This window comes from Homo sapiens, chromosome 13 (assembly GCF_000001405.40).
Source record: "Homo sapiens chromosome 13, GRCh38.p14 Primary Assembly".
In the NCBI taxonomy this organism is placed as follows: domain Eukaryota; kingdom Metazoa; phylum Chordata; class Mammalia; order Primates; family Hominidae; genus Homo; species Homo sapiens.
The window spans coordinates 63809455-63827054 of record NC_000013.11 but is presented as its reverse complement, the minus strand read 5'-3'; the positions used below and the strand labels follow the sequence as shown (position 1 = coordinate 63827054).

At 34.2% G+C, this 17600-nt stretch overlaps 1 pseudogene; it reads left to right on the top strand.

The window, feature by feature from the left end:
- PPP1R2P10 (protein phosphatase 1 regulatory inhibitor subunit 2 pseudogene 10) lies at window positions 15152-16706 on the top strand (annotated as a pseudogene).

Below are 17600 nucleotides of genomic sequence, written 5' to 3'. Positions count from 1 at the left end.
GGGAAAGAATAAAATAGAAATCGTTCAGGAGAGGAAAATTTTGACTCCCTCTTTAATACTCAGAAATAATATAAAGCAAGTTTAATTAAAATTGTTGAATATGGAAGTAAATACGTGGATGTCTATTATATTATTCTATTTTGTTTTGTATGTTAGGCATATTTCAAACTTAAAAACTTTTAGAGTGCTTTCCAAAGTAATGTGCAATTAAATTCTTAGAGAAATACTGTAAAGAAAGTAGTATTTTCTCATACTACAGAGTAAACTACTGAGCCTCACTGACATGAAGTAATTTGCACAATTGTTTCTACTCCAATTGAAGTATTTTACAAATTGTTATGTCACAACCTGGGATTTTTCTTTTGCGTTATCATCATAGATATTCAGGAAATATCTACTCATATGTTCATAAAATTGCCTTAAAATGTTTTTTACCAAAGAGACAAATGTTTTCATAGCCTTCATTCTTCGAAAAACCATCTATAACTTTAAACTCATGGTAATGTGTTTCAAGGAATACGTGAAATATGAAATTTTCCCACAGATTAAGTGGTAAAGATGAGAGCTCAGTGGTGGATAAAGGACAATAATAAATAGCTATTTTTGTATTTCTCCTTTTTTACATATTGCTTTTCTTCACTATAAATCAAATATACATTAAGTATTTTATTAAAATAAGTGAAACACTAGAATCTAAATATCTACAAAAATTAAGTGAAGAAATATATCAGAACCCATTGTAGGTTGAGCATTCTGAATCTGAAAATATGAAATGCAAAACACTTCAAAATCTGAAACATTTTAAGTGCTAATATGATGCCACAAGTGGAAAATTCCACACCTAACTTCATGTGATAGGTTGCAGTCAAAAGGCACGACCCACAGTTTATTCAGCATCTCCAAGGAAAAATGACCATCTTAGCCCACTTCAGCTGTGATATATCTTCTCCATGCCCTTCTACGAAGGGTAATAAAATGGCACATGCACAGGCTGGATGTGTGTTCCCACCAGTGCCCTACATGGGGCCAAGACCTACGTGCATTACTGACTGTGCTTTTTCTTGCTTATTCTCTGCTCTTTGGTGTAAAGACATTACTGAAAATGTCAAAAAGGTCTGCAAATACCTCTGTGGGTAATGGTAATAAGAAAAAATAAAAGCGTTTCTGTTTATCTATATAAGAGAAAGTCAAGTTGCTAGAGAAACTGGACAGCAGTGTACGTGTGAAACATCTTACAGAAGAATATGGTGGTAGAATAACTGTCATATATACCCATGGAGAAACACAAGGATAGACTGCTGAAGATCTGTGCTGAAAGTGATGAGCAGAAGATATTGAAAAATACGAAACACTGCATAAAGCTAAAAATAAATATGTAAGTTGTGTAACCAAAGTGGATATGTTAGCATCCCTGAAGAAACACATATATACACCTGAAGAAACTTAAGGGTAAACTGCTGAAGATCTGTGCTGAAAGTGATCAGCAGAAGATAATGAAAAATACAAAAACGCTGAATAAAGCTAAAAATAAATATGCTTTATTTATAAAGCATGCCACTTAATGGTGTGTGGATCATGACATTAGCAAAGATCTATTACAATGAACTAGAAAATTGAAGAGAACTCTGAATATTAAACAGATTGGTTGCAAAAATTTAAGAAAAGTCATGGCATTACATTTTTAAAGATTTATGGGGATAAAGCATCTGCTGACCATTAGGCTGTAGATAAATTTATTAATGAGTATACCAAGATTATCGCTGATGAAGACCTGATGCCAGAACAAGTCTATAATGCTGATGAAACATTCATTTCTGTTTTGGTGTTGTTGCTCTAGAAAGACATCGACTAGAGCTGATAAGACAGCCACTATAGGAATTAAGTATGCCAAGGACAGAATAAGTGGCTGGGATGTACTAATGCAACAGGCAAACATAAGTATAAACTTCCTGTGATAGGAAAAAGCTTGCATCCTCACTCTTTTCAAGGAGTAAATTTCTTAGTCCATTATTATGCTAACAAGAAAGCATGAATCATCAAGGCGTCTTCTTTGACTGGTTTCACAAACATTTTGTACCAGCAGCTCAAGCTCACTGCAGCGTCGCTGGACTGGATGATGATTGCAAGATTTTGTTATTCCTTGACAACTGTTCTCCTCATCCTCCTGTTGAAATTCTCATCAAAAATAATTTTATGCCATGTGTTTTTCCCCAAACATGACTTCATTAATTCTGTCATATCACCAAGATATTGTTAGATCAATAAAGAGTAAATATAAAAACACTTTTTTTGAAGAGCATGCTAGCAGCAGTGAACAGAGATCTGACTGTAGAAGGTTTTCAAAAGAAGTTTAGCATGAAGGATGCCATCTACGCTGTTGCCAATGCTTAGAATAAAGTGACTAAAGACACAGTTGTGCATGTCTGGAATAGCCTCTAGTCTGTAACCATGTTTAGTGATGATGATGAATAAGGTGGTGGGTTTGAAGGATTCCACATATCAAGTGAGGGAAAAAAAACGATGTCTGATCTCCTTACATATGCAAAAAATACCTTCAGAGTCCCTCAGTAAGCCGGAAGAAGTGGAATTTAGGAAGTTTTTAACAGTGATAATGAGAATGCAGATTTTCATTCATTGACTGATGATCAAATAGCCAAAATGGTTCCGAATCAACGTGATCATGAAAATAGTGATCTTGAAGATGATTTATACGTTGCAGAAAAAGAGCCCACGACAACATGGTGAAAATAAGTGATGAGCTTATTGAAGGCCTAAAGCAGTGTGCACTCATAACAGAAACAGAAATCTTCTCAGTTCATAAAATCAGAAAGTGACTTCTAAGACAAAGAATGTTGTTAATGAGACAGATGATTCTGGAGGAAGCATTTAAAAAAGCCATCCAGCTGAATGTCTCCTCATCCCTACAGGATCCACTTCCTGGTTGGCGACTGTTTCTAGTGTTTTTTTCTCACCTATAAAAGATAAAATACTGTCTACAGTAACCTTTTAATCAAAACACAGCTTCTTAGGTGGAGACTGAAAGCCTGCTCTTCTTTTTTGTTGCTGTTGTTTAACAGCTGTTAAAGGTATTCTGGTGAAGCTGGTGTGCTGATTAGTTACCCTAAACCTATTATTTTTTCACTGTATTAATATTATGTCATATTTATTATGGTTAGGTGCTTATGTGTGAAAAAAATATAAGAAAATGCTTATCAGTAGTTATAAATTCAGAGTTAGGAATGATGGTCTTGCCAAAAAAAAAAAGCCCCACAGACTGTTCACGTGGGTGGCTGAGATAGTAGCACTTTTGGTTTCTGATGGTTCACTGTACAAGAACTTTATTTTATGCACAAAATTGTTAAAAATATTATGTAATGTTAGCTTCAGACTATCTTGGTAAAGTGCTTATGAAAAATAAATTTTGTGTTTACATTTGTGTCTCAACCTCAAGACGTCTCGTTATGTGTATGCAAATATTTCAAAATCCCAAACAATTCAAAATCTTACACACTTCTGGTTCCAAGAATTTTAGACAAGGAATAGTTAATATGTATGAATAAACAGCACTTAAGAGAGAAAACGAAATTAAATAAAAGCTGAAAGAAGAATAAAGAAATTTTACTTCACTAAGAAAAATAAAAATAGCAGAGAAGAAATGTGATGTGTTACTGTGCTAACCTAGAGTTAGAGTTATGCTACCATTGCAATGACTTTCAGGAATATTTGATGATATCAACAAGGTATTGTTTCTGCAATACATGGAAAAGGCTACAGAGATAGTTTCGGCTTAATTGAAGTGGAGCTAACATTGTTAATTTTACTAACAATGGAAGTGATATGCATAATATTAGAATTATATAATTGTTCTGCAGGTTTTGATTGCATGCTCTATGTCACCAATTTTTAATATTACAAAAGTATAAGAGTGGGAAAAGTACAAATGGGCATTATTTTTTGTGTGTGCTTAATGTGTTGCCAAAATGTAAGGGCTGGTGATTGGTAATTCTATCAAAAAGAACACACACACTGCATACATACATATCCTGGAAAGAGAAGATTTAAAAGAAAAGTGAAATTAAGATCAATAGAGTCTGTGCTAAATAACAGTTGACATAACAGACATTGTATACTATTTCAAATAATAATTTCCATAATAGCTATAAGATAGGTTACCATTATTATTCAAATTTTAGAGATAAGGAAACTGAATTATGGTTTTATTTAGCACTGGAGAAAGCACAGACAGTAAGTAGTAGATATTTATGTAAAACAATATTCATATGTTATCTAGAGCCCGCAGTTTGAACATAATATCATAAAGGATTAAGTTGGAAAAATTAAGAACTATTAGAAGGTGATGACAGTCATAGGTTTACATCATATTCTTATAATTTATTAATTTTTCTTCCATATTTATGTGTATTTTCTGAACCCATTTCCTTATCTTAAAAATGGAAGTGTTAATACTAGTCTTGTAAGAGTTATTCTATCTTTCCCACAATTTTATCATGGACAGGAAAAAAAAACTGATAGCTACATATAAACGCATGAAAAATGAAATGATATTCATTGTTCAAATATTTTATCACATGTGTACACCTCTTGTTAAACTTTATTTTTTCACAGAAAATGATACAAGTTATTATTAAATTTGTTGCTTAATCAATGTCTTATAAGCTTAACGTATAAGTTTGTAGTTGGCCATTTTATTCTCTATTTTATTGAGAATTATTCACTAACCATGCAGTAGTATTGTTAGTACCTTTCTTTTTGATCATATGAATGATTTTTTAAAAAGTGAAGATAGAGTTTTGTGGATTAAATACCATTCAAATTATAATTTATTGTTTTATTTCACTGGCACTGCTAGAAAACTAGTAGGTTTAACTATGTAAAGGCGCTCCATGTTTTTCATATTTTAACTAAATGTTATATTTAGTTTAACTATATAAATATTAACTTCCTAATACCCCAATATATTACTCACAAGCCATGAATGAACATACTTTACATGGTAGTCATTAAAAAACAACTTTTACAAGTAGACTCAGATGCCAGTATGTAATTCCCAAAAGGCTAAGAGGCTAAGAACTTGGTCTTGTGTACTGCTGTATTACTAATGGCCGAGAAAATGCCTGGGACTCAGTGAACACTCCATAAATATTGATCCTATGAGCGTGACAGTGTGTGTGTGTGTGTATGCACGCATGTGTCTGCGTGTGTGTGAGAGACAGAGAGAAGGAGAGAGAGAGAAAGAAGAGAGATCAACTTCCATCTCATTATTTCAGGCAAGAGCCACCATAAACAATGTGTACTAAGTCGTAAGAAGAAATGGAATTAGAGCTTTATTTTAGAATAAGTACTCACTGATATTAAGCAATGTCAAACATACAGAAGATTAACATAATGTTCAGGATTTGAGTAAAAATAAATCAGAAGAACTGGGAAAAGAATATATCTGCTTAAGTTTTGAAACCCTACAAAACAAAGTAGCAGCTTACATATATCAAAGTCTGGCTGTTTAGTAACTATTTTCTACTTCTGTTTAATTTTTATTGTGTGTGTGTGTGTGTGTGTGTGTGTGTGTGTGTGTGTTTGTGTAGCCTTAAATTTGCAGAATAGCTTAGGACAATTTTACACTGTTATCAAATTAATGCAGCAAATGAGGAAAAAAGTCAGTGTATCTACATCAAAAAGCAAGGGTTATTTTTAACATTAATAGTAATGAAATGTTTAAATGCATTGTTTAAAATTCAAAACAGAAGTGATAGGTGCCCATTTTTAATGAGAGGAGGCAAATGAACATTTGGGAATTTTCCAACAATTCCACAATTAAAGAATATATAAAAACTAGATATTGAAAATGTGTATATCATCAGGGTGTTTGACTAAAATGTACTGTCTGTTTTGATGAACCAGAGCAAGGAAGTGTTTCAGGAGTTCATCAGTGTTGAACAGTTGCTGACAACTTTGTTCTAATTTTTGAAAACAATTGTTTGCTAAATTATGGGGTACCTGATGAATAGCTTTAATTAGATTAGCATCAAGAAAAAAGAATAAAGAAGAATATATTCTTTAACTACATCAAGATCTAAGCTTATGTTTATATTCAGTGAAAGAAATCTATTAATGAGAAAACCTTTTTTGTTTTCCAAAAAATACGATTTAAAAAGCAGATGTCTATCTCTTACAGTCCACTGTTTTCCTGGTTTTAATACCAGGGTGTGCTTCCAGTTTTAAACTCCTTTAGTCCCCTTGATGGTAGAAATCTTTTTCGGAGCCAACATCATCATTTCTTAGGGCAGATATCAAAAGCTTAACATATTATTTCAGGCTGAAAATATATCAGTGCAAATGTAATTGCAATCTCTGCAGCATCAAAGTAGAAATACCCAGAGTTCATGATTGGTCATTCTTATCCATGAATGTATCATAATAGGCTGATATGCTCCCTTTCCCAGGAAACAAATTTTCTTTTGGACATGGTCCTTCTGATTAAATAATATCTTATCACAAAGAATGACACTAATCGTAGAAATTTCAGGCCTTGGACATTTCATCACTGATCCAACCTGGTAAGTATAGAACATTATTAAAGGGGAAAAAATGCTTATAAGTTGCTTAGTAATCAATCAACTAGCATTTACAACCATCATTTGATTATTACTGTCTGTGGTACTGTAGTGGAAGGAAAATCTAAGCTGTCCATCCACTCCTAAAAGAGATTTGAATTAAGCATATCTGATATATCACATCAATTTAATGAGTAAAATTATTCAATTGAGCACTTTCTGTTGAATATTTTCAAAGAGCAGCTTTGGACACTGTCAGTGTTATGTTTAATGCTTTTTCCCAGAAAGTGCTAGCCAATCTAGTATTCAATGATCAACTCTAGTCACATCATTTCTAAATTATATCTATAAATGTAAACTTTCTTTAATATTCCAGAAATCTATTTTCGTATTTAATATATTTCATTTATTCAAAAGATACATTTATTAGTCGCCTATTTACATGTACCTCTCTAAGCTCTGTAACAATTTTACCAGTTTTGATAGCTCAGTGTCATAATTGTTGATTCTTGATCATTGAAATGTTCAATAACATGGACATCAAGTCAAGCAATCATAGACACTTAAATTACTTATAAAAGCCCCTAGACAATTAATTTTCACTTACCAATCCTTATTTGCTAAAAATTTTGTCAGGATTTATTCTTTCTAGAGTATTCAGATGGTACTTTTATGAAGCTTAACCTGAGTTTTTCTATTTTTCAAAAAATATTTATTCAAATTTCTATTTTCTAGAGTAGTTATCCAATTTTTATCTAGAATTTCAATTTCTTAAAATTTTTACTTTATATTTTTTAAACCTGATTGTCACCAAGATAATTTTTATTTAGTACAGTAAGCACACAATTTTTCTGCTAAATATATACCTAGTTCTACCTTTCTACCTTTGATTCCACCACAGCAAAAAAACAAAGTCTGGCATAACCTCCTCCTTTTGTTTCAGCTTTTTTTCTCATAGATATTGGCCTGTAGCTTTGAGTTTATTTATTCATCTGCATCATTTACCTATTCCAAGTATTGTTGCAAAAATGTGCCCATCTATCTACCTTTTTCTTTACTTCGCATTTTACTGCCAACTTCCTTTTTCTTCTCTTTTCTAATTGCCATCAATAAGTATAAAGCATCACAGATTTCAGTGTGAAAATTAATGTGGCTGAAAAAAGAGATGTTAAGAAATAAATGCCTATAAATGCATTTTAGGTAAGGAAAATATTATCCTGTGTAAAGATTCCTGAATTACTCTGGTGGAATTTACTTTATTCTTGTTTGTGGAGCACGGGAATTATTAAGATAAATAGAGCTTTGTTGATTCCCTTCCCCTAGTGAATGGATTCCTCCCCACACATTCACAAATTTGGTAATAGAGAATATGTTACCAGAGAAAAAGGAATACTTTTATTGATTTTTTCTTTTTTACAAACATCATGTGCAAGCACCACAGTATGATTTTATGCTATCTTTATCCCAGAATGAATGATATGTTAAATTTTATCTAATATTGGCTTCTAGGGGCAATAGGGAGTGAAATAGATTAAAGTGGATTATCTCAGAGGCGGGGCAGATTGAAATTCCAGTGCTTTGATGTGGGAGACAGGTGTAGTATGGCATTAGAAATAGTGCTGGAAATCCTAAACTGAGACCATTAGGTATTTGAATGCTGTTTGCATGAATAATACCAAATAATTTGCATATATACGTCTTTGCAGAGGCTGAAAATGAACATGCAGCACTTCTGCCTTGGGATTCTAAGCAAAGACCTTGTTGGCTGAATGTTGCCTTTGGGAGGAAAGATCATTCTAGGGGAGTTTACTATTGAACTTTGAAGGGGCCATGTGGGCACAAGAAAGGTGCCAAGTTGGCCCAGGAAAGGTGCATGTCAGCCATGGCAACAACAGGAAGTTCTTCCCATTTCCCTGAAGTGTATAAACTTCAGGACACTCAGGATGCTCAAATGCTTTCAACTGGCAATCTTCATAAACAATTAAAGATTAACTCTGGAGAGAGTAAGGGGAGCGGGACAGATTTATTTTGCTCAGGAAAAAAAAAAGGAATACAATATTTCTTTCACCTGCGGATATTTTAAAACTGTAAAATTACCCTTGAATTTCAGTCAGTTATGAACTGAGATTAAATCTTACTTAGAATATTGTTCTACTTCAGGAAACACGCACTGTGATTCTCTAATGAGAAAAAGCAATATTGTGCTATGTGTTCTATAAAGATTATTAAATACATGGAGGGAATAATGTTTACTTAGCACAATTAAAATAAACATTATGATAGGTGAGGATTGGTATCTTATTGTTGTTTAATTTGAAAGACTCCAAAGATTAATGAGCAAGTTGGAATATGTTTAGCTTTCAGGCAACTTGGTTATACTCTTTTTTGCAGTACGCAGTCCAGTCTTGGCCCCTGTGCATGTGTGTATACACACACACACACACACACACACACAGACACACACACACACGCAAAGAGAATTATTGAATTCTCTTGAATTATTAGGAAATCATGACTTTTGTTATGGATTGAGGTTAAAGTTCAAGGTGTTTTTAAATCCAATATGAATATCAAATTTCTTCAGCATGACTTATTAAAAAATAAGCTATACTTTTTCATATATATATATTTAAAGAGAGAGACAGAGAGAGAGCGAGTGAGAGAGAGAGATCATGAGCCTATAGAGGTGAGTCTTTTTCTGGACTGGCTTTTGTTCCATTAGTGTACATCCTATTTTTGTTTAATACTACACTATTTTAATTATTGCAGAATAGGAATCCTTGATATATTGTAGGGCATAATCTCCATCTCTGCTCTTTTTCAAGATTGATTTGGCTCTTCTAGATTCCTTAGGATTTGCTTAAAGTTTCCACAAAAAATAAAAATGGAAACAATCAAATAAATTTTATAAAAAGAAAACTTTCCATGACATAAAATATCACAAGATATAGATAAAACTTTTTCACAATTATAAAGTAAATAACTAAATGTTCATTTAGGAAAAGAATAAATTAACTAAGTATTCCAGTTGGCTGAAGGAAAGGGAGAATGACCATATTATAGGAGGAAGAACGAAAAGTAAATTAAAAAAAATACAGTAATCACAGTGATTAATGCAAACACTTTAAGGAAAGGTAAACCAGAAAATATCTAGAAAATCTAATCATATTTTTTAATAAACAAACTTCAAATAAGATAAGAGCATTAATTTGCACAGAGGCTACTTACAATATATAATACATTTCAAAGTACATTAATATGACATATGCTTAAAAATATTTTTATTTTTGTGAATAAGATGGCAGAAACAAAATGGCACAAAGCAAGAATAATAATAGGGTAAAGTAGCAAAGAAGGAAGGTGAAAAATTTACTTTGTATATTAGAGACCTTTGAGGATTATAATATATATTATGAAGATACAAGAATCATTATTTCATTTTATGCTCTAAAAATGAAATATAAATTCAAATAATACTATCTTAATCATTCTTTTCAGTTTTTCTTAAAAATAAATAAACTGATGGTGCATTCTTAGGTGAAGTATAAGTGAATTTGCAAGTTTAGAGAAATACAAGATTATATATTTCTCATTAAATGAATGAATTATTCAGCATTTAGAGAAACAAATTCTTAACCAAACATTATGGAACCATCCAGAACCTGAAGTAAAAGGTTATGATGTGCACAATGGAATAAATAATTTGAATAAAGATATATTTTAAGCAAAAGTTAGGTATTAAAATTAAACCTTTTAAAAATTTATTTAAAATATTAAAGCTAACTGAATATGCACAGAAATATGTGTTTGCACAAGCAGTAAAAGGACATAAATATTCATTAACAGAAAGTGTTGAGGCATCATTCTGTACTTAGGTTATGCTTATTCAATGTTACCTTGCTTCTAATTATTCTTCATTTAACCACTTGTGTCTCAAAGGTTTTCTGATATAAAGGAAAAATGTAGCTTGAAGCAAAAACCAAATGCTCGAATGCATTCAAATTTATACACCTGGATATACTTTCTCAACTTACAGAGGCACTTTTGTGAATTACCACTTCATCAGTGAAATGAGGTGAAAAACTAACATTGCTTTTACTTTAGGCATTCTCTTCAAGGGAACATTAGAAGCTGAAAAATGAGACTCTTTAAGTCTTCATTTATCATATTCTCCAAAATCTTAAAGTAATTTTATGTCATTTCACATATAAACACAACACATCCACTTCCCTGGATATTCTAAAAACAAAATCACAAACTATCTGTGAAAACTCTTATATTAAAATGTGGATCAGAACAGCTGTTAGCATTGTTTTATTTGCTTGCTTAAAAATCTAATGTTATGAACATTAATTATCCATAAAATATCATCATTATGTAAAAGAGATAATTTCTCAAATCACTTTTTCTCCAAACTAATTACAGTCGAATAAAACCATGCTTCATCACTTTATGAGAAAAGAAGGGACATATTAAAAGTGTAAGCTTAGAAGCCCATCACAACTTATAAGTAAATACTGACCTAAAAATAAATCTACTTTGACCTGTCTCTGTTCTGCTTGTCACTTCTTCAAGGAGTTTCTGTAACTTCTCTAATCCTCTTTTGTCTCTCTATCTTATGCCCTCCCAATTCCACACATTTTTATTTTATTCAGAAATTAACTTAGGGAAACATGACTTTTTTTCTGCTTATGCCTGTGGCATCATAGAGATTGCTGATTTTAGCATGCTGGCTTTCCCCATTTTCTAGAAGATCATGGTTTCAAAAAGGTGAAACCATCACTTCTATGTGAGAACATGGTAAATTAGATAATTTATTCACTGACTATGTCAATAATAGTGGAAGAGAAGGATAGTTTTTGAAACTATGGGAAATATTGTCTTAATTCTTTAATTCTAGTTATATATAAGTGACATTAAAATGAGTTTCACTACATAACTCATTAGATTTTATTTTTAATGAAGATTTCAAACTGAGTTTGAAAACAATTCATTTTCTCATAAAACACAAAAATGACTGAGACTTTAAAACATATAAATGTATTCACATATATAATTGTACCTAGAGTTATGGAATAAATACTTTAAGACTATTAAGGAAAGTTAAAAGAACTTTCCATAATTAAAATATTATATTTTTGATGTAGAATATAATGAGTTTGTTTTGGGAGCCCTTATATAATAGGGAAAAAAGGATTTCATTAAAACATAGAGGATGCAAACATTATGGTCAATATCTTACAAATCTCATGGATTTTGAATTGCCTTGCAGAATAAATGAGGAGAATAAAAGTGTTGACACAGCTTGATGAGTTGATATTTTTTAATGCTTACTTTAAAAGAGTGCCTGGTGCAAGCTATTTGGCAATTTTGCCAAGTTTCTAATTTCTGAACTCTCATTTGAATTAAACTGTCTACCAACCTCTTGCTCCTTGCATGAGGAGACATAAAAACTGAATTAAGTTGATGGAATATACATTTTAACTAAACAATTTTTAAGTGTATTGTATTAAACCGGAATTAAAATTTTAGCAACTATAAAGACACCCCACTATCCAAAAATAAATAGATAATAGCTCAACTTATAACTTTATAACTATAGTCACTAATTCTGTCTTAAAATATTTCCTCTTATAGTATATAATTATTCAATGCTAGCACTAAATGGTTACAATCTAAGATGTAGTATTTGTGAACTTACATTAATAAAAGATGCTATCGGTGGTGGCGGGAGGCAGACAGGTTCCTAGGCAGGGCAGGTCCCTGGTGGGGCCCAACCATCAAGTCAAGGATAACCTAAAGCCTGGGGGCTGGGCTTCCAGTTCAGGGTAGGGTCTGCAACCCAGAGTGGGAACTTCCTTGATGCCTTTCAGCCAGTCAGTTGGCGCTTTTTCCACACTCACCCATGGACCAACTCAGAACCACTTCCTCCTGCCCATGGACCAATCAGCATGCACTTCCTCCATTCTGAGCCCATAAAAACCAAGGTCTCAACCGGACTCAGGCACCTCACAGGCTACTCGACTTTGGGTAGGGGGCTGCCCTCTTTGGGTCCCCTCTCTGCTAAAAACTGTGCTGTTGTTGCTCAGTAAAAGTCTCCACCCTCCTCATCCTTCAGTTATCAGAGTAACTTCATTCTTCTTGGAAGTGGGACAAGAACTTGGGACCTGCCAAACGCTGGTATGAAAAAGGCTGAAGCACTTGTAGCCCACGGTCCTCCACCAGTGTCCGGTGGCTGCTCTAGACAACAGAAAGTAGCAGTGGGGCTGGGTCTGCCCAGGAACCACAGGCCAGAGTTGGGCAACAGGACTGAAAAAGATGTTAACACACCCCTTACACTGAGCTGCAAAGGGTGGGAATGATACCCCCTCAATAATAATACTGGAGTTGCTGGTGTCTCCGAGTTTCTTGGCAGCCACTGCATTCCCCTCATCCAGATGCAGGTGCCCAAGGTGGAAGAAGGTTGCTGCATGCCCGGCTGAGCTGCAGGCTGAGTGTGGGATCCCACCGTGAGTGCTCGATCCAGCCTGGAGCACAAGCCAAAGGCAGCCCACTGAACCAAGTGGGTGGGGTACCTCCTGTGGCAATCCAAGGGCAATCCTGGGTAGGGGCGTCACCAGCCTCAGAAGTCACCAGCTGGCAAAGCAGCACCGAAAATTCCTGTGTCACAAGTCTACTTTCTTAGTTTAAGATACTGGGAGAAGACATAGTTCTTTGCTCCGCTGATACTAATAAAAAAATACCTTTTGAATATTAAGCCTCCTTCTTACTTGTGCCTCCCCCAACAATTTGCTCTATAAATTCAGACAAATGTCTTAGCATCATCAATGCATTTTTCATTAGCTCAACCTATTTCTCAGTTCCTTCATGATCTGGCATATTTTTTAAAGGTGACCTATTACTGTATAAATTCTATTTAAGCAACACTTCAGCAGGACACAATGCTTTTCTAAGTAAGTATTCATTGACAAAGTGTATTTTCTAACATAAGTAATTCTCTAAAGGTCACCATATATTGAACTAGAATTCTTAGTATTTGATGTACTTAACCTAAATTTTATATTAACTTAAACATTTGTGTCAAACACAAAAAAATATCGCAGGCATGAAAAAAGTACATTTCACAGAGAATGAATTGAATCAATAAGGATAAATTTGAAAAGTGTTAGGGAAATGAATAGAAGGTCAAAAGTCAAATATTCTTTTGAATATATGCAAACAGTCTTAGTGCCAAGACTGAAAATTAGTTTTTATGATTACAGAAGCTGTAGATATGCCCTGACATTTGCAAAAAATATGCTATAGTAGTGGGCCAAGGGAGGTAGTCTAGAAACTGATTGATTTGGAGAACATATAAAATAATCAGCTTAAAATGTATTATTATTGTTTTCTTACGATAGCCAGTTCTGTGAATCAGGAATGAATCTAGGAATGCTGTATTCTGAAAGCATGTGGTGATTTTATGGTTCAAGTAAAACAATAACAAAAATATTAAAATAAGTACCACACACTTGTTACAAAAGGAATGAACACTGAAAAGAAGTCAAATATGATTCGGTTTTAAATCTCTTAGATATATTAGTGTATCTTGACATCACAAATGTATTTAATAAATATACTTCTAATTTGATGTCAATTTGAATTAAGAGATTACATAATAACATAATTATTGTTAACTTGTAAAGAGCTTCTTTTTTGTCAGTCACTATTCTATTTTGTTTACTCCTTACAACTCAGTGAGAAAGTTATTTTTTTTTTCATTTTACAACAGAGGAATGTGAGGTTATAAATGAATTTCCCAAGATCACACTATTCCTGACTTGATACCAGTTATATCTTAGTCCAAAATAAAAATAAAAGCTGTAATTTGTTTTAAAAATTTGTGTAAAGAATATTGTTATTTATCATCTATTTATCTCTATCAGCTGTATTTCTTATAACATCCCAATTGCTAGATATCATGACACTGCAAGTCATTCAATCCCTTCTCAGAATTAACGAGATTTAATAGTGCTGAGTATATTAAGTATATTTTGACTGTAAATGAAATGTTTAATGACTGATATTCAAGTATAAAGTCATCAATCATCTGGCAGGCACCATTTTTAAGAGAAAAATAATGCATTTTAAATTCATGATGAAAGAAGGAATTCCTAATTTGGACTCAAAATAAGATCAAAAGTCCAACGACTAGCACTGGTTCTGCTAATAGCCATCTCAATGGCTCCTTGCATAAAGATACCTGATATTTTCCGTCTCACTCATCTCCATATTTATTCAAACAGTATTTTAAAAGGACTTATGATGTGCCAAAAACAAAAGCCGAGCTCGGAATAAAGTGGTATAACAGAGTCATCAAACATACAGACTACTTTTCCAGGCATTGGACTGCACGAAATAACTTAGCAACAGGGTGCAGAAATTATAATAGAGAAGTGGTTGGAAGTCTCAGTTCGTAGACACAGAATAAATTCCAAATCCATAAAATGAAAAAGGATAAGCAAAGGGGAGTGAGAAACAGCTGCCAATGTGATAGAATTTAAACCAAGGTAAGATATCGCGAGAGGGCGGGCCCGCTAGGCTTGGCGTCGCTCCGGAGCTGGAGCTCTTGCCGGCGTCTCCCCGCGAGCAGCGGCTGAAGTGCTGGCGGCTAAGAGCCCGTGAGCAGCCGCCACTCCTTCGGCGTTGGCTCTTGCGCCGGGGTCGTTGTTTCGTGACAACCACCCAGGTAGCCGTTTCTGAGACGGCAGATGCGGCCGCTTTAGCCCTGAGCGGGCTCCGCGCCTCCCTGGACGGTCTCTGCCAGTGCCCGACTCTTCTCTTCCGGACTCCACGCCAAGCAGCGACCCTGAGCCAACAGACAGAGCGCCCAGAAATGGCGGCCTGGACTGCCTCGCACTGGCCAGTGAAGGGGATCCTGAAGAACAAGGCCTCTACAGCTTCCTCTATGGTGGCCTCGGCTGAACAGCCCAGCGGGAGTGTCGAGGAGGAGCTGAGCAAAAAATCCCAGAAGTGGGAAGAAATGAACATCCTGGCGACATATCATCCAGCGGACAAAGACTATGGTTTAATGAAAATAGATGAACCAAGCACTCCTTACTGTCGTAAGATGGGTGATGGTGAAGATGCGTGTAGTGATACAGAAACCACTGAAGCCGTGGCACCAGATATCTTAGCTAAGAAATTAGCTGTTGCTGAAGGCTTGAACCCAAAGTATCGGGTTCAGGAACAAGAAAGCAGTGGAGAGGAGGCTAGGACCTCTCACCTGAAGAACGAGAAAAAAGGCGACAATTTGAAATGAAAAGGAAGCTTCACTACAATGAAGGACTGAATATCAAACTAGCTAGAGAATTAATTTGAAAAGACCTACATGATGACAAAGATGAAGAAATGTTAAAGACTGCAGATGGAGAAAGCATGAAGACGGAACAATCAAATCAAAGCTCTACAGCAAGTGACCAACGGCAAAACACATTCAGTAAGTTCATAGAAGAGCTTTGTTCAACACTGCAACTGTTTGCTAGATATAAACCCTGTTACTATAATACATTGCTTCTTGATCTCCACAATTTATGATTTAAGTATCAAAATCATACCAGTTATTATATATTACCAAGAATTAAATGATATCCTTAGAAACTGATTAGACTGAAAATGCCTAATTGGTATATATATCTTGTGCCTAGTACTTTACCACAAATACAGTGTAATATCATCAGTCCAAAACTGCATTACTTTTGTAAAAACACTGGTTAATTTGTGTAAGATATTATATAGCATTTTTAAAGGATAAAAAATATCTTTGGGGAGGAGAACTAAGTTATTTTCATCACTCTAAATGGGGCGATACCTCTTATAAGTTTGTTGGTTTGCTTTTTTTTAAAATCAAAAGACAATTGAACAACAGGATGTATAGGCTGATAAATATTCAGGCCGAATAGTATTTTAACACTTGTCTTCAACTTGATTTGTCTGTTTAATTGAAAAGGATTATAAGAGTTACTCTTGCATTTTCTGTCCTACTACCTTTAAAGTTACTGTTGAGTTTCTTTGTATTTACAAGGAAAGGACTGAACTTTTTCTCATCAAAACTAGCCTTTTTTCTCACAAATAAATTATCAGTTTAAACTTGCAAAAAAAAAAAATTAAGCCAAGGTAGAATGTAGTTGTGGTCTGAGGAAATTAATGTTCTAAAAGTTGTAGAATGATAACAGGGTGTGAAAAGATACTGTTAAGTCAACTTAAACATGTCCTGATAATTGACCACTGGATTCAGGTGAGCAGAGATGACAACAGCATGTGATGTTTCTTCAGAGTAGAGGAAGCAAAGTCTGATTGAAGTTTGTTGGAGAGAGGATGGGAAGAGAAAGAGTTCAGACAGTAGGTACAGTTACACTTTCAATGAGTTTTGTTGAATAGAACAGTCAAGTCAGGCATTAGAGGAAGAGGCAGAGTCAATGGACTTTTATTTTTTTTGTTGCTTTGTTTCTAAGCCCGTAGAAACTGCAATGTTTCTATGCAAATGAAAATGCCCAAATAATAAGGAAAACATTGATCATACAGGAACATGACAGGGAAGTTGCCGGAGTAATTCGCTTTGCAAACAAGAGGTAATGGGATCTGTTGCACAAGTGTAGAGCTGAGACTTATATAGGAGCATATAGCTTATTTGTTGTGGGAAGAGGATAGGAGTATAGGAAGGTTGATAGACTCGATGATGGGTCCATGCAGGCATTTTCTTCATTTACTTTCTACTTTCTCAGTGAAATAATAGCCATGAATATGTATCTGGAAGAAAAATGCTCTAGTTCCATAGAGTGGGGAATAATTGGAACAGTTACGCAGAATAATGGGAGAGCAAATTGAATAAGGAGATAGAGTGGTATCACCCTACAGCCTTAAGGAATCCCTTGAGTTCAGTGGTCAGGATATTAAAATGAGATCATTCAACACTGTTGTGAGGTTTTCTCCTTTAAGTTCACTTATTCGATGATGACTTAGAACAGGTGACCAGTGAAAAACCAGTGA